Raw genomic sequence first — 18,792 nt, 5'->3', positions numbered from 1 at the left:
GGACCCTTCTGCACTGAGCAGGGCTGAGCTGTGTTAGCACTAGGATATATGGGAATGACAAGGTGGCATATGACTTCCAAAGTTAAGGTCACTTTGCTGTCTCGGATCACTAAGGCAGCTATCATGTTGTGAGGAGGCTCAAGTTGTCTTGTGGTGGGTCCCTGTGGCAAGGAACTGAGCTCTCCTGCTGACAGCCAGCAGTGCCTTCCCAACCATTAGAGTGAGTCACCTTAGAAGCAAATTCTCCAGCTCCAGTGTATCCTTTAGATAACTGCCACTCTGGTCATCATCTTGTCTACAACCTCATGAGAAACCTCAGCCAGAACCACCCAGCTAAGTTGCCTCTGAATTCCTGAGACACAGAAACTGTGAGATAATAAATGTTTACTGTTTTAAGACTCTAAATTTGGAGTAATTTGCTATTCAGCCATAGAAACTAACACTCATTTCATCATGCCTGACACTGATATCGCTACAGTTTCACATCCCTGTGGCTAAAGCTCTCCAAGGGCTCATCATTAATTTCAGGATAAAATCCAAATCCCTTAACATAGAATAGGTCTTTTATGAACTGCCTCCTGCATGCCTCTCAGCCCCATCCGGCCCACTCTGCCTTTCCTCCTTGCATCACTCCAGCTACTCTGAAACACACTGCACCTTCCTAAATGTGGACAGATAAAATTGCCAGACTTTTCATAGGATGCCCAGTGAAATTTGAATTTCAGATAAATAACAAATAATTTGTGTGGTTATACAATATTTGGGACATACTTATACTAAAAACATTGCATGACACATACTTATTCTTAAAAGTTATTATTTTATCTGAAATTCACATTTAATAGGGCATCCTGTACTTTCCGTTGCTAAATCTGGCAACGCTACAGATGCGAGCTGCTCACTTTCACCTCCTGCTCAGTCCCCAGCTGGATCACTACAGCTCCCCCTGACTAGCTCCCTGCCCTGCAAGACTTGGCCCAGACATCAGTGCCCCTAGAAAGCCTAGACTAACTTCTCTGCCCTATACACACCTAGGATGAGTCAGACGTGCCTGCTGCAGGCTCCCGCCCACCCGTCACACCTCTCTCACACCACACACTTTGCAAGTATTTGTTTACCTGTCTCCAGTACTAGACTCTGAGATTCTTGAGGTCAGGAACTGTCTTACTCACTGCGACGTGGCTTCAGTGCCAAAAACATAGTATAATTAGTTTATACTTACTGAAGATTTACTCTAAGGTAGTCGCTGTTCTAAGATGTTCTGCATATATCAACTTATTGAATTTTCATATCAAGCCAAAGGAGGTACTATTAACATCCCACTCTTACTGGGGAGGAATCTGAGACAGAAATAGGTTTTGTGACTTCTCCAGTGTCATTTGAAAATGGCAGGGAAGTTGGGGTTCAAAGCCAGGAGTCTGACTCCAGAGCCCACCCTCTAACAAACTAGACACATTGCCTCTTTACAGTGCATGATAAGTGCTTGCCAAATGCATGTTAGAACTGACTATCCAGCTAAGTTTCTCCAAACTAGATAACTGCCTTTAAGCAGGGACCTTGCTGCCTGTGCCCCTCCCAGCTCTCTCTCCAGTCACCACTACTGAGCACAATGCATGGTGCCTTCTTCACAAGCAAATACCTTCTCCCTTCTTCAAATCCTGACTACAGATCCAGGGTAGCACCATCTACCACACCTCCCTAAAAAAGAATGGTTATAGGCAGGGAGCAGCGGCTCACGCCTGTAATCCCAGCACTTTGGAAGGCCGAGGCGGGTGGATCACCTGAGGTCAGGAGTTTGAGACCAGCCTGGGCAACATGGCGAAACCCTATCTCTACTAAAAATACAAAAAATTATACGGGCATGGTGGCACGTGCCTGTAATCCCAGCTACTCAGGAGGCTGAGGCAGGAGAATCCCTTGAATCTGGGAGGCGAAGGTTGCAGTGAGCCGAGATCGCGCCACTGCACTCCAGCCTGGGTGTCAGAGTGAAACCCCATCTCATATACATATATATATATAGTGGTTACAGCATATGCCTTAGAAATATAAGCCAAGAGAGCACTGTGATTAATACTGTCAGTTCTAGAGTAAAATTCCCTGGGCTTAGATCCTAACTGTACTGCTTATTAGCTGTATGGTTTTGGATGAGGCCCTGAGACTTAGATTCTTCATCTAAGAAATGGAGATGTAGCATCTGGAACACAGCATGTACTCAGTAAATGTCAGCTGTCACCATTGTCATTGCCAATCCACTCAGCCCACGGGCAGGTATGTATGGTCCTGGCAAAAGTTGTTAAGAGGAGGCCGCAGGCGCTGGGGAGCATGCGGAGAGGCTGCGTGGAGCTGCGTGCTCCCGGGGCTGCATGCCCAGTGAAGCGCATGAAGGGCGAGCGGTGATGGGTTCTGCGCCAGTGGGGCTGGGAGAGTGTGGGGGGCTGTAGGTGGAGCTGCGCGCAATGTGGGAACTGCACGTGCGGGCTTGGGGACTGCGCACATCGGGGGGCTGCAGGCGTGGGGGAGGGTTTGGGGGGCTGTGCATGGGGCTGCCCTCACGGAAGGCTGCACGCTCGGGGACGCGCGGAGGCTGGGGTGCTGCGCGCCGCTGGAGAGCACGTTGGGGGACATGCAGGGACTGCCCGGGCGAAATGGTTTGACTGCACGCCCTCCACCCCACATTTCACAGTCGCCATGACGACTGGGAGGTCCGCAGCCGCTGCGGTGGCCGGTACAAGTAGTTGAGGCTGCGAGGCCAGTGAGGCCTTTCCAGACCTCGCCCTACTGGGCTGGGCTGCGTGGGAAATTGACCCAGCTCCACCAGAACAGGAACTATGAGAAAATAGTTGGGCAAACGAGGAGTAAGCTCAAAAGCAGCGGCTCCACAGCCATTTCAATCTTCCCGCCCCAGCCAGTTGAAGCTGAGGGGCCTCCCAAGCCAGGGAGCCAGAGATGGAGGAGGAGGTGGAAGAGTCCGGGCTGCCTCTGTAGCTTTGGACCCTAGGCAGAGGGAACCTGCCAGGGGGCGGGAGGAGGTGCGCAATCTGAGACCTCCAAATGGCTTGCAGCTGGACGTGATTGCCAAGACCCTTCTGGGCTGCTTCCAGTTGTTACATAATTTCCTGGCGCAGCTCCAGGAAAAGGTGCACAAACTGCAGGCGCCTCAGTTCTCCAGGAAGACCACTCTGGGCTTTGGTGTGGAGAGGGCAGGAGAGCCCTAGGAGGGAGCCGCATGGCGCTTTTCTTGAGTCTTGAAGGAGATCAGTTTAATAAGCAAGGGTTTGTGGGTGCCCAGTAGCAAATAATAGCAAGGTCCGAGCTCTGGAAAAGCGTGGCAAGAATCGCCAAGCTCCATTAGTTCTTGTTTTAAAACATTTTCAGGGTTTTCTGACAGTAGTCACCCCTATGTCACAATAAGGAAATGGTATCTGAATCAGGGCAGCTAATTATCATACTTGGTAAAAATGATTAGCTGGCTCTTGAAGAACAGACATGTTTCTCAGCACCTCCAAACATGGGCGGCAAGAGGTGAGCTGGAAGGTGCTGATCACCAGGCATTGCATGGCGGGGCTCCCGCCCACCGGCCTGGACCGGCCGCGCCACCTTCCTCAGCGCTGCTGTGCACCGAGTCCTGTAAGCCCTATAGGCCGCTGCTACTGTTCGGCATGCTGAAGGAGGACTGCGCTGCGCGGGCCCCCAAAGCCACGCTCCCCACGGCCCCGCCGCGGGAGCGGCTGCGCGGGGCTGCCAGGGCCTTCGCAGCAGCGCCGCCCGAGGCGCTGGGCTGGTGCCCACTGGGCACCTGAGCCGGGAACCGCCCCGCGGTGGCCCGAGCGCCCCCGCCGCCGCCCGCGGTCCCATTGGCTCCTCCGTTGCTACTGGAAGGTAGATCCGAGCCCCAGTACGTGCGCGTGCGGCTCCTCTGCTTGGTGCCCATGTCCGCCCTGCCCCGCCAGGCGCGCCCGGAGAGCCAGGAGGGCGGGAGCGAGCGCGGGAGCTAGAGGGCAGGGCCAAGGCGCAGCAGCCGGCCCAGAGAGACCCCCCGCACGTCCAGGGCCGCCGCCCCAGGGGAAGTCGGCGCCCGGCGCGCTCTTCCTGGGGAGGTGGGCGAGGCTGGCGGCCTGACGCGGGCACGGGAGACAAGGAGACGAGGAGACGTGGAGAGGAAGGGGTCTCGGCTGCGGGCACACCTCGCTGGCTCTAGCAGGAAGAGGCGGCTCAGGTGTCCGTGTGGCTGCCTCTGGTTTAGGTTCTGGTGCGCCATGAAGGCCACTGCCGGTCTGGGCGCGCTGGGCGCCCCGGGCGTCGGGCACCGCCTCCTCTGGGGCTGTGGCTGCTACCGCAGCCATCCTCCGGCTCCCAGGGCTGCTGGCGGCTGAGTGGGAGGCGCCTGCCCAGACTCCGCCGGCGCCACCTTCCCTCTTCCCACAGCCACCCAGTTGTTTTTAACGGAGAAAGAGGAAAAACGGGCGGTGCGCCAGGGGAGGACGAAGAATGGGAGGGAGGGGTGCTGCGCGCTTCCCGGCAACCGTCGCCTCGCTCCCCCTGGGCTGGGCTGGCGGGAGGATCTGGGCCGCGAAGGTCGGGGTGCCCAGGCGGGGAGGAGGTTCCCCAGCCCTCACGCCGCCCGGCCTATATAGGTTTCTTACACTTGAATATTGATATTTTTCTCTAGGTTTGGGAAGTTATCTGTTATTATCTCCTTGAATAAACTTTTTACTCTGATTTCCCTCTCTACCTCCACTTTAAGACCAATAACTTATATTTGCCTTTTTGAAGCTATTTTATAAATTTCATTATTTTCTTTTTTCTTTTGACTCCCCTGTGTATTTTCAAATAGCCTGTCTTCAAGCTGACTAATTCTTTCTTCTGCTTGGTTAATTCTGCTGTTGAGAGACTCTAATGCATTCTTCAGTGTGTCAATTGAATTTTTCAGCTGCAGAATCTCTGCTCGATTCTTTTAAATTACTTCAATCTTTTTGTTAAATATATTTAACAGGATTCTGAATTCCCTCTCTGTATTACCTTGGATTTCATTGAGATTTCTTAAAACAGCTATTTTGAATTCTCTGTGTAAAAGGTCACATATCTCTCTAACTCTGGAGTTGGTCACTGATGCCTTATTTAGTTTGGTGAGGTCATGTTCTCCTTGGTGGTCTTGATGCTTGTGGATATTTGCCAGTGTCTGGGCATTAAAGAGTTAGGTATTTAATCTTTTCAGTGTGGGCTGGTTTGTACTTGTCCTTCTTGAGAAGGCTTTTCAAGTATTCAAAGGGAAATGAGCGTCGTAATCGAATTATTTGGTCACTGCAGCCAAATACACAATAGGGGGAACCCCAAACTCAGTAATGCTGTGACTCTTGCAGACCCATAAAAGTATCACCTTAGTGGTCTTGGGTGAAATCTGAGAGAAGTCCCTGGATTACCAGACAGTCTCTTGTTCTCTTCCCATACCTTCTCCCAAACAGACAAAGTCTTTCTCTCCATGCTGAGGTGCCTGGAGTTGAGGAAGGGGTGACACAAGCACTCCCATAGCCATCACTGCTGGGATTGTGCTGGGTCACACCTGAAGCCAGCACAGTACTGGGTCCCACCTAAGGCCTCTGGTGACAATTTCCTGGCTACCACTGATGTTTATTCAATGTTCAAGGGCTCTGTAGTCAGCAGGTGATGAATCCTGGCCAGGACTGAATTTTTCTCTTCAGTGCAGCAATTTACCTTCTGTCTCAGGGTGAGTCTATAAATGCCATCTCGGAGCTAGGGCCTGGGATTGGGGATTTTAGGAATCTGCTTGATGCTTTATTTTACCGAGACTGAGCTGGTACCCAAGTTACAAGACAAAGTCCTTTTTACTTTTCCCTTTCCTTTCCTCAAGCAGGAGTCCCTCCCTGTGGCCACCAGAGCTGGGAATGTGCTGGGTTGCACATGATGCCAGCAAGGTACTGAGTCTCATCCAAAATCCATGGTACTTACTGCCTGGTTACCACTGATGTTTATTCAGGGCCCAAGGGCTCTTTAGTTAGCAGGGGGTGAATTCTGCAAGGACTGGCTTCTTTCCTTGAGGGCAGTGGGTTTTCTTCAGGCCCAAGATGAGTCTAGAAATTTCATCTGGGAGCTATGGCTTAGAATTGGGGCTTCAGGACTCTGCTTGGTGCTTTATTTTACTGTGGCTGAGCTGGTATTCAAGTTGCAAGACAAAGTCCCCTTTACTCTTTTTTCTCCCACATTTGTGAGCTGCACTGCCTGGAGTTGGCGGGGAGGAGTGAGGCAAGCACTTTCTTGGCCACTCCAGGTGATATCTCACTGGGTCACCTACACCTCAAGCAAGTCCACTGGCTCTGAGCCCAGCTAGCATAGGGACTTGCCCAGGAATTTCAGTCCTTGTGTCTAGACTGCCTTTCAAGTTTATTTAGGATCCCAGAGTACTTCATCCCATGGTGGTGGGTCTATCCAGATTCTGACCCCTGGAATGGACAATTCCTCTTTGGCTAGGGCTGGTCTAAATGCTTCCTCTGTGAGTGCTGGCTGAACTGTGTCCTGTGTTGCTTTCTGCTGTGACAGCATTCCAATGCAAAGTTCCATAATCACTTTGCTCTCTCTCTCCCAAGTACACAGATCTCTCTCATACCACTTGATGCTGCCAGTGAATGGGGGTAGTGTAGGCAATTCAAGACTCTTTCCTTCCCTCTTCACTGCCTCTGTCCTTGATATGACGTTAAAACCATGTACTGTGATTGCTCACCTGATTTTTGGTTCTTATGAAGGTGTTTTTTTGTGCGGATAGTTGTCCAGGTTGGTGTTCCTGCAGGGCATGGGGAATGATCATTGGAGGGCTCTGGCCATCTTGCTCTGCTTCCTGATTCAATTTTTTATCAATGTTTTATTGTTTTTCAGTGTACAGATCATTCACCTGCTTGGTTAAATTTATTCCTAGATATTTTATTTATTTTTTATTTTCTGGTTTATGTTTTCTCATGATATTTTTAGATAGTTTAACATTTTGATGCTATTTAAGATTGTTTTCTTAATTTTTGTTTCTGATAGTTTGTTGATAGTATTTAAATTGCAACCGATTTTTGCACTTTGGTTTTGTATCCTGAAACTTTACCGAATTTATTTATTCTAACAGTTTTTTGGTGGAGTCTTTAGGGTTTAAATATAAGATAATGTAATCTGCAGACAGACAATTTTACTTCTTTCTTTCTTTCTTTCTTTCATTTGGGTGCCTTTTCTTTCTTTTTATTGCCTAATTGAGCTGGCTAGGATTTCCAGTATTTTGATAAATAGAAGTAACAAGAGTGTACATCCTTGTCTTGTTTCTAATCTTCAAGGAAAACATTTTAGAATTTCACCATTGAGAATGATGTTACCTGTAGATTTGTCATATAAGGCCTTTATTTTGTTGAGGTACATTCATTCTATACCTTTTTTTTTTTTTTTTTTTTTTTTTTGAGACAGGGTGTCACTCTGCTGCCCAGGCTAGAGTGCAGTGGCACAATCTTGACTCACTGCAGCCTCAACCTCCCAGGCACAAGTGATCCTCCCACCTCAGCCTCCCAAGTAGCTGAGACTACAGGCATGTGCCACCACACCTGGCTAATTTTTGTAATTTTTGTAGAGATGGGGTTTCATCATGTTGCCCATGCTGGTGTTGAACTCCTGAACTCAAGTGATCCACCCACGTTGGCCTCCCAAAGTGCTAGGATTACAGGCATGAGCCACTGCACCCAGCATATGCCTAATTTGTTGTGATGAATGTAATATCTCTTATGATGAAAGAATGTTTAATTTTATCAAATACTTTTTCTGCATCTATTGAGATGATCACATGGATATTTCCTTCACACTATTGTTGTGATGTATTACATTTGTTGATTTGCATGTGTTGAACCATCCTTGCACCCCTATGTTAGGTCCCATAGATTATACCAAACAGCATTGCATCTTGGACAGATGGTAACTAATCTACTGTAACTACAAATTATGGCAAAGCTATATCATCTGATAAAAACCAAAAGGCAAAAAATGGGACATCCTCCTTTTCACTTTAAAGAAAAGGTAAACAGACTGCAAGTGGTTAGGCTCACCTGTTCTTGAGTGCTACTGTCAGGGTAAGTCAAGAAATTCTTGAACTCAGACAAAGATTGCACTGCTTAATAAGCTGGGAGAAGGGTGGTGCTGGAGAACAGGTTAAATGAAAGATGTGAGGTATCATGCAAGATCTCTTTACTGAAAAATAAAACTTTCCTCAAAATTGAAGATAATGAAAGAAAGAGAGGAAGAAAGAAAGGTGGAAAAGAAAGGAAAAAAAAGAAGTAAATCTGAAGACCTACTTCATGTATAAATGGAAAAAAATCTGTAACAACTCCTTAGTAGGCTGTGGATATCACATCTGTGTTGTAAAGCAATGACTGGATGAAAATTGCTACATTTAAATAATTCCAGCTGGCAAGAGGGCTCTTTCACCACAGATACCTGAAAAACACAAGTTCCTTATATTACCATGAGGACAAGAAAAACTAGCCAGATTGATTTGTAAATGAGACTGATTACCTGTGAAACTAGATACATCAAATAGATTACAATGTTGCTTTGTGCATGTGTGAGCACTGTGTGTGTGTATGTGTGTGTTGTTGTTGTTTGTTTATGATTGAGTATCAGAAAAGCTGCTTGCTTGAACTAAATGAAACATTATGAGTATTAATAGAAGTAATGTCCTGTGGAACTCTAGGATTCTTCACAGCTAGTAGGTTGCTCTCTGGCCTCAGGTTTCAGCTGGGGCTTGTTTGTGAGCAGAGCACCAATACAGTGAGTCCTGTGGTTGGGAGGGATTCCACAGGGTAAAAAGATCTTGATTGAGGGTCACTAATTGCAGAGACTTTTGCTAAAGAATAAATCCTTGGCACCCAGCCAGGAACTAAGCTGAGTTTGGCTCCAGAGGTGAAATGGCCACGTCTCACACCTATAGTTTCTTCCCCACTGTATTAGTCTGTTTTCATGCTGCTGATAAAGACATATGCAAGACTGGGAAGAAAAAGAGGCTTAATTGGATTTACAGTTCCACGTGTCTGGGGAGGCCTCAGAATTATGGTGGGAGGAGAAAGGCACTTCTTACATGGCTGCCATCAAGAGAAAATGAGGAAGAAGGAAAAGCAGAAACCCTTGATAAATCCACCAGATCTCATGAGACTTATACACTATCATGAGAAAACCATGGGAAAGACCAGCCCTCATGATTCAATTACCTCCTCCTGGGTCCCTCCCACAACATGTGGGAATTCTGGGAGATACAATTCAACTTGAGATTTGGGTGGGGACACAGCCAAACCATATCACCCACTCTGAGAGGATGGTTGCCAGGCAGCACCCAATGACCCATGCCACTTGAACTAGAAGTGGCCTGCTAGTCCCATAACTTGGTTTTGAAGACTTCTTGTCCCCAGTTCTCAGAAGGGGGAGGTGGAAAGCTTCATTATGCTCTTGTTGAATCCTCAGGGTTTTTCCCTTTAGGTGCAGATGGCTTTACTGAGAAAAGCCCTTTTTTTCCAGCCTGGACTTGGACTCTGGCAGCAGTGGCAGTGGTGGTGCCATCACTCTTCTGGCACCAGACTTCCTTCAACAGCCATTTTATCACTCACCCTCCCAAACTCTGTGGTTTCCCAGAGCAGTAGATATGATTGACTCAGTAGCCAGGGACTTCTGGGAGCATGCAGATGTGTTTTTGCACAGGCTGTCAGGTGATGGGATAGGATCCACTGTGCAAGCCTGGATCTCAGGCTTCTTTGGGCTGGCTGACCAGGACCACAAAACCAGCTGAACTCCAGCTTTCAGCACCATTTATTGCCTTTGGCAATTCAAGTTTCCCCAAATCTTAAAGTCCTCATGCTACTGGAGTCACTCTTTCCTTTCAGAACCAAAGGCCATCACTTTGATTCTTTTGCCAAAAGAGAAACTTGTTTTTCTTAAGGCCACTGTATCCAGAACTCTTGTTTCACAAGGTATAGCCCACCACTTCTGTGTTGGGAACAGGCCCCCCAAAATCTGGCCATAAACTGGCCCCAAAACTGGCCATAAACAAAATCTCTGCAGCACTGTAACATGTTCATGATAACCATAACACCCACGCTGGAAGGTTGTGGGTTTACTGGAATGAGGGCAAGGAACACCTGGCCCACCCAGGGTGGAAAACCGCTTAAAGGCATTCTTAAGCCACAAACAATAGCATGAGCAATCTGTGCTTTAAGGGCATGTTCCTGCTGCAGATGACTAGCCAGACCCACCTCTTTATTTGGGCCCATGCCTTCCTTTCCCATAAAGGATACTTTTAGTTAATCGAATATCTATACAAACAATGCTAATGACTGGCTTGCTGTTAATAAATACGTGGTTAAATCTCTGTTCAGGGCTCTCAGCTCTGAAGGCTGTGAGACCCCTGATTTCCCACTTTACAATTCTGTTTCTGTGTGTGTGGGTTTAATTCCTCTAGTGCCGCTGGGTTAGGGTCTCCCCGACTGAGCTGGTCTCAGCAAGTGGTGTCCATCATGGGGACTCAAATCCAGGTCGAAGGGTCGCCGGAGCAACAGTTGGAGAATGTGGAACTAAGCTGGAGGACACCTGAGTACTCTTAAAGCAATCCCCGTGGTGAGTAAGAAGGGGAGCTTGGAAGCATCAGGGTAACAATGGGACAAGTGTGGGGTCTGGTTCATTCCACCTAGGAACTTTTTCACACTGATGAGGAGGAGGAAGGAGAGTATAACAAAGTAACAGAAGAGGTTACAGAGCAGTTTTATTTACCAGCTGAAGCTAAAGTGGCAAAGGAGGGAGAGGTTCATCCCTACCCTTCTGCACCCCCTCCTTATTATTTTGAAGAAAATGACCTTCCAGATCTTTCTTTTCCGGAGGACACTGGGCAAAAAGTAGTTGCCCCAGTGACTGTTCGAGCAGCACCTAGAGCGACTGCTCTTAGTTCTAGTCAGGCAGGAATTCAGCAAGCTAGATGAGAGAGTGATTTAGAGGCTTGGTGATTCCCTGTTGGAATACACCCCCCCAGATCAACAGGGAAATATTATAGCTACATTTGAGCCCTTTCCTTTTAAATTACTCAGAGTAGCCAGATCCACCCCTTTATTTCGGCCCATCCCTTTGTTTCCCATAAGGGATACTTTTAGTTAATCGAATGTCTATAGAAACAATGCTAATTAATGCTCTGAAGGCTGTGAGACCCCTGATTTCCCACTTTACACCTCTATATTTCTGTGTGTGTATGTTTAATTCCTCTAGCACTGCTGGGTTAGAGGTCTCCCTGACCGAGCTGGTCTCGGCATTTCTGCCAAAGAAAAGACTCCTCCTCTTTCAACATTAGCTGTAGGCACATCTGTATATATACAAACAAGAATAGAAGGGTGTGATGAGGAGAGGTGACGGGATTGTTGAAGTAGATATAGACACAGAGAGATACACTTTATATGCATTTAGAGATAGATGGAGAGGTATATATACATAGAGATATATTTTGTATGTATCTTAAAATTGGCCAATATCAGATTTTTTTAATGAACCAGAGAACTATGATCACATCACTCTTGAAAATATAGGCATGACTAGAAATACTAGACTGTCTCATCTCTGATGGCATATAAAAAATATCTGGGGGTGGCTGGGTGTGGTGGCTCACACCTGTAATCCCAAAACTTTGGGAGGCTGAGGCGGGCAGATCATGAGGTCAGGAGATCGAGAAACCCCGTCTCTACTAAAAATACAAAAAAAAATTAGCTGGGCGTGGTGGCAGGTGCCTGTAGTCCCAGCTACTCGGGAGGCGGAGGCAGGAGAATGGCGTCAACTCAGGAGGCAGAGCTTGCAGTGAGCCGAGATCGTGCCACTGCACTGCAGCCTGGGCAACAGCGCAAGACTCTGTCTCAGAAAAAAAATAAATAAATAAAAATAAAAAATATCTGGGGGTATAATTGAGAATAAAACAACTAACGGCATAGTCCTAATGCTGTCAAATAAATTTTTCAGCTTATTTAAGGGGAATCTGTGATGCTACTATTTGTGTGTGTGTGGGTGTGTGTCTGTCTGTCTGTGAAACACACAGAGATCCTAATTTCACAGTTAACGTAATCAGCATTATGTGGAAAAGTATCCTCTACTTGGAGTAATCCACCAGTAAAAAATGAGTTTAGAATTTTCTGGCACTTGTGCTCTGCATACACAAACCAAAGAAACCCTTTGGCATAATGCATCCAGAGTCATCCCAAGAAGTTCACTGCATGACACTGTGGTGTTATTCCAGACTGGCACCTTTGTAGATGCAAGCTATGAACTAGAGCTGGGTACCCTGTCCTTGCTCTCACATGTATATATGAAAGGAGACAATGCAAAGGACTAATGGAATTGTAAAAAAGATGGGACAGAGGGTATATTGATAAAATAACACAAGGAAATTAACATTTCGTTTTCTAAGACTTTTTTTTTTTTTTTTTTTTGAGACAGAGTCTTGCTCTGTCGCCTAGGCTGGAGTGCAGTGGCGGGATCCCGGCTCACTGCAAATTCTCCCTCCCAGGTTCAAGCAGTTCTCCTGCCTAAGCCTCCTGAGTAGCTGGGATTACAGGCACCCATCACTGCGCCTGGCTAATTTTTGTATTTTTAGTAGAGATGGGGTTTCACCATGTTGGCCAGGCTGGTCTTGAACTCCTGACATTGTGATTCACCTGCCTCGGCCTCCCAAAGTGCTGGGATTACAGATGTAAGCCACTGCGCCTGGCCTTCAAAGATATTTTTAATGTACCAGTGGAAACTCCCCTACAGCTTGAAGATCCATGATGTATCCTTGGAAGTTACAAAAATAGAAAAGAAAAAACACAAATGAAGAAACACAACCAAGAGGCTTGAACTTGATGTACAATTTATTTATAATAAAAAGGGAAGCTTCATGATATGCATGTTAATACTAACAAAAATGCTAACAAAGTGGGAATATTAATGTTCATAGACTTTGTTTAATGATTTCATGGAGGGGCTATTGTAACTTTTACTGTCATTTTCTTTCTGTTTCAATGTTTAAAGGGAAACTCACACATGATAACAGCTCAGTATTATGGATGGATATAAGCTCATTGAGTCAATCCTTGAGAGATGGAGAGTGAAGTAACTTCCAGTTCCCATTTGGAACTCTCAGAGCTAGGATAAAAACTCCTTGTCATGAATTCACAGGATGAGAAAATCTAGCATCCTCCCATGTTCTGCCCATTTGCCCGCCTTCAGGTTTGACTTTTGAACTTGCCAAAAGGGAGAAAAGTCTGGACAAGTCCCCTTTTCACCTTTTCTCATTACCTTGGTTTGGTTCCAGTTTGTACGTGGTACAGACTTCCAAGGAAGTGATGGTCATGGAGAGGAGATCATATTTGCCATGAAAATGTTTTTGTTATTCAGGATTCAGGGAAATCATTCACAGCCTGGTTCCCATGCTTTCTCTAGGGGCAATATGGAGCTTAGAAACAATTATCTAGGTCATGAAGTGAGGATGGAAGTTAGGTGCTATCCACAGGACTGAGTCAAAATGCTCCGTGTGTGTGTGTGTGTGTGTGTGTCTGTGTGTGTGTTTTGAGACAGAGTCTCACACTGTCGCCCAGGCTGGAGTGCAGTGGTGTGATCTCTGCTCACTGCAACCTCCGCCTCCTGGGTTCAAGTGATTCTCCTGCCTCAGCCTCCTGAGTAGCTGGGATTACAGGTGCCCACCACCATGCCTGGCTAATTTTTTGTATTTTTAGTAGAGACGGGGTTTCACTATGTTGGTCAGGCTGGTCTTGAACTCCTGACCTTGTGACCCGCCTGCCTTGGCCTCCCAAAGGTCTGGGATTACAGGTGTGAGCCACAGTGCCCAGCCCTCTTTGTGTTTTAAAGTGCCTGTGGCTTCTTCTTGCCTTAGTTTTGCTCTCCAATTTATTGTGTTTCTTGTTCCCCCATCCTTTGCATTATACTAACTTTGCATCCAAGAGAGGAGGCCTGAATTGGTGTAATAAGACTGATACCTTTCTCCTAAAGATGATGCCCTGGTGAGCTTTGCAGCATGTCAAACAGGGTCTGAAATTAATCCTCATTGAAAGGGAGTTTGGGAGGTGGAGGGTCATCTTCCTATGGATTCCAGAAGGAAAAAAGATGAACAAAGGCATAGAAAACCTATTAAACAAAATAATAGCTAAAAACTTCTTAAGTCTTGCAAGAGATATAGACATCCAGGTACATGAAGGTCAAACATTTCCAAATAGATTCAACCCAAAACGGTCAATTCCAAGGCTCATTATATTCAAACTATCAAATTCAAAGACAAAGAGGGAATCTAAAAACAGCAAGAGAAAAGCATAAAGTCACATATAAGAGCATTCCCGCAAATGAACAGGGACATTACAATTGATACCATAGAAATAGAAGAGGTCATTAAAGACTATTATGAGCAACTATATGCCAATAAATTGGAAAGCCTAATGGAAATGGAAAAATTTCTGGACACATACAACCACCAAGATTGAACCAAGAAGTAGTAGAAAATCTGGACAGACCAATTACGAGCTACAAGATTGAATCACTAATAAAAAGTGTCCCATCAAAGAAAAGCCAAGGACCTGATGGCTTTATTGCTGAATTATGCCAGATATTTAAGAAAGAACTAATACCAATTCTTCTCAAACTTTTCCAGAAAATTGAAGTGGAAGAAATTCTTTTATACTCATTCTATGATGACGTTACCCTCATACCAAAACATGAAAAGGGCACAACAAAAAAAGAAAACCATAGGCCAGTATTTCTGATGAACAGAGATGCAAAATTCCTCAAAATAAATACTAGCAAACAGAATTCAACAATACATTAAAAATATCATTCACCATAATCAATTGGGATTTATTGCAGGGATGGTTTGACATATGCAAACCAATCAACATGATACATAACACTTACAAAATGATGGACAAAAAGAAAATGACAGTCTCAATAGACACAGAAAAAGCATTTGATAAAATTTAATATCCTTTCATGATAAAAATCTTCAACAAACTAGATATGAAAGAAGCATACATGAATGCAATAAAGACTACATATAACAAACCCACAGGTAGCATTATGCTGAATAGGGAAAAGCTGAAGTATTTTCCTCTAGAAACTAGAACAAGACAAGGATGCCCACTCTCACCACTTTAATTCAACCCAGTATTGGATGATGTTCTAGGCAGAACAATTAGGTAAGAGAAATAATTAAAAGACATCCAAATTGGAAAGAAGGAAATCAAATTTTATGTGTTTGCAGATGACATGATCTTATAAATAGAAAAACCTAAAGAATTTACAAAAAAACTCTTAGAACTGATAAATTCAGTAAAGTTGTAGGATGCAAAATTAGCAGACAAAAATCAGCAGCATTTCCATATGCCAACAATGAACTACTTGAAAAAGAAATAAAAAAGCAATCCTATTTCAATAGCTACAAAATAAATAAAATACATAGTAATAAATTTAAATGAGGAGATAAAAGATCTCTACAAGGCAAACTGTAAAACATTAATGAAAGAAATTGAAGAGATCACAAAAATGAAAAGATATCCCATGTTCACAGTTTGAAAAAATTAATACCGTTAAAATGACCATACTACCAAAAATGATCTACAGATTCAATAAAGTTCCTATTAAAATATGAGCTATTCTTCACAGAAGTAGAAAAAATAATCCTAAAATTCATATGGAACCAAAGGAGACTTCAAATAACCAATGAAATCTGGAGCTAAAAGAATGCAGCTGGAAGCATGATACTACCTGACTTCAAAACATACTACAAAGCTGTAGTAACCAAAACAGCATGGTACTGGCATAAAACCAGAGACATAAACAGAACAGAACAGAGAACCCAAAAATAAATTCATGCATTCTCAGCCAACTGATTTTTGAAAAAGATGCCAAGAACACTCAATGGGGAGACAACAGTCTCTTCAACAAATGATGTTGGGAAAACTGGAGGTCCACATGCAGAAGATTGAAATTAGAAACTTATTTCATACCATACACTAAAATCAACTGAAAATGAGTTAAAGAGTAAATATAGGACCTGAAAAAACTACTAGAAGAAAACACGGGGAACAGTCCATGACATTGGTCTGGGCAATTATTTTTTGGATGTGACCCCAAAAGCAAGGGCAATCAAAGCAAAAATAGACAAATATGATTACTTCAAATTAAAAGCCTTCTGTATAACAAAGAACAAACATCAGAGTTAAAAGAACCTACAGAATGGGAGAAAATATTTGCAAACTCTACATCTGATAAAGGGTTACTATATAAGGAACTCAAATACTCCATAACCAGAAAACAATAGGCTGATTTAAAATGTGAAATGATCTGAACAGACATTTCTCAAAAGAAGACATACAGAGGCCAAGAGGTATATAAAAAAAATTCTATATCAGTAATCATTGAGAAAATGGAAATTAAAACTACTATCAGATACAACTTCACTCCTTTTAAAATGGCTACTATAAAAAAAGACAAAGGATAATAAGTGTTGTTGAGGATGTGGAGAAAATGAAAATATTCACGAACTACGCATCTGATAAAGGTCTAATATCCAGATTTTTTTTTTCTTTTGAGACGGAGTTTTGCTCTTTCCCCTAGGCTGGGGTGCAGTGATGCAATCTCAGCTCACTGCAACCTCCCACTTTCAGTTTCAAGTGATTCCCCTGCCTCAGTCTCTCAAGTAGCTGGGATTACAGGCGCCTGCCACCATGCCAGGCTAATTTTTGTATATTTAGTAGAGACAGGGTTTCACCATGTTGGTCAGGCTGGTCTCTAACTCCTGACCTTGTGATCCACAGGCCTCGGCCTCCCAAAGTGCTGGGATTACAGGCTTGAGCCACCATGCCTGGCCCTTATTTTTTATTTTTTATTGGAGACTGCATTCCACTATGTTGGTCAGGCCGGTCTCGAACTCCTGATCTCAGGTGATCCGCCCACCCCAGCCTCCCAAAGTGCTGGAATTATAGGCATGAGCCACCATGACCGGCCTTATATCCAGAATTTATAAGGAACTTAAATTAACAGGCAAAAAACAACCCCATTAAAAAGTGGGCAAAGGACATGAGCAAACACTTTTCAAAATAAGTGTGGCCAAAAAAACATATGAAAAAATGCTCAATATCACTAATCATCAGATAAATGCAAATAAGAACCATGAGATACCATCTTACACCAGTCAGAACGACTATCATGAAAAAGAAAAAAAAATATGATGTCGGGAAGGCTGCAGAGAAAAGGGAATGCTTACACACTGTTGGTGGGAATGTAAATTAGTTCAGCCATTGTGAAAAGCAGTCTGGATGTTTTTCAAAGAACTTAGAACTACTTTTTGACCCAGAACTACTTTTGACACAGTCTCATTACTGGGTATATATCAAAAAGAAAATAAATAATTCCACTGAAAAGACACATGCATTCATATATTCATTGCAACACTATTCACAATAGCAAAGACATGAAATCAGCCTAGATGCCTATCAACAGTGGACCGGATAATGAAACTGTGGTATACATACATCATGGAATACCACACAGCTATAAAAAAGAATAAAATCATGTCCTTTGCAGCAACATGGATAGAACTGGAGGCCATTATCCTAAGAGAATTAATGTAGCAAAAGAAAACCAAATACTGCATGTTCTCACTGGTAAATAGGAGTAAACATTGGATACTCATGGACATAAAGATGGCAGCAATAGACACTGGGGAGGGGGAAAGTGTTGAAAAACTACTGGGTACCATGCTCACTACCTGGGAAGTGGGTATAATAGTACCGTAAACCTCAGCATCATACAATATACCCATGTAACAACCTGCACAGGTACACCCTAAATCTAAAATAAAAGTTGAAATTATTTTTAAAAATTCCCAACAAAGGGAAATCATAACTATTTGAGGTTATGGATATCCCGATTATCCTGACTTGACCATTATATATTGTATGCATGAGTCAAGATATCACATATACTCCATAAATATGTACAACTATTATGTATCAATAACTTTTTTTTTTTTTTCTGAGCAATAAGGCTGTTTATTTCACCTGGGCGCAGGTGGGCTGAGTCAGAAAAGAGAGTCAGTGAAGGGAGATAGGGGTGGGGCTGTTTTATAGGATTTGGGTAGGTAGTGGAAAATTACAGTCAAAGGGGGTTGTTCTCTGGCAGGCAGGGGCGGGGGTCACAAGGTGCTCATTGGGGGAGCTTCTGAGCCAGGAGAAGGAATTTCACAATGTAATGTCATCAGTTAAGGCAGGAACAGGCCATTTTCACTTCTTTTGTGATTCTTCAGTTACTTCAGGCCATCTGGATGTATACGTGCAGGCCTGGGCTCAGAGGCCTGACATTCCTGTCTTCTTATATTAATAAGAAAAATAAAGATCAGATAGTTGTAGATATGCGGCATTATTTCTGAGGGCTCTGTTCTGTTCCATTGATCTATATCTCTGTTTTGGTACCAGTACCATGCTGTTTTGGTTACTGTAGCCTTGTAGTATAATTTGAAGTCAGGTAGTGTGATGCCTCCAGCTTTGTTCTTTTGGCTTAGGATTGACTTGGCGATGCGGGCTCTTTTTTGGTTCCATATGAACTTTAAAGTAGTTTTTTCCAATTCTGTGAAGAAAGTCATTGGTAGCTTGATGGGGATGGCATTGAATCTGTAAATTACCTTGGGCAGTATGGCCATTTTCACGATATTGATTCTTCCTACCCATGAGCATGGAATGTTCTTCCATTTGTTTGTGT

At 44.2% G+C, this 18,792-nt stretch overlaps 1 protein-coding gene and 2 pseudogenes across 1 annotated transcript in view; 2 read left to right on the top strand and 1 right to left on the bottom strand.

Moving 5' to 3' along the window:
- Positions 2,857-3,187, top strand: DPY19L2P5 (DPY19L2 pseudogene 5; annotated as a pseudogene).
- ZNRF2P3 (zinc and ring finger 2 pseudogene 3) lies at positions 3,479-4,627 on the bottom strand (annotated as a pseudogene).
- Positions 3,714-18,792, top strand: part of SFTPD (surfactant protein D) — a 44,644-nt gene continuing 29,565 nt past the window's right edge. The window contains exon 1 of the mRNA XM_011540087.2: positions 3,714-3,879. The gene's annotated coding sequence lies outside the window, so the exon portion shown is untranslated. The remainder of the gene's footprint in view (positions 3,880-18,792) is intronic.

Source organism: Homo sapiens, chromosome 10 (genome assembly GCF_000001405.40).
Source record: "Homo sapiens chromosome 10, GRCh38.p14 Primary Assembly".
In the NCBI taxonomy this organism is placed as follows: Eukaryota; Metazoa; Chordata; class Mammalia; order Primates; family Hominidae; genus Homo; species Homo sapiens.
This window is presented reverse-complemented; position numbering and strand designations above follow the sequence as displayed.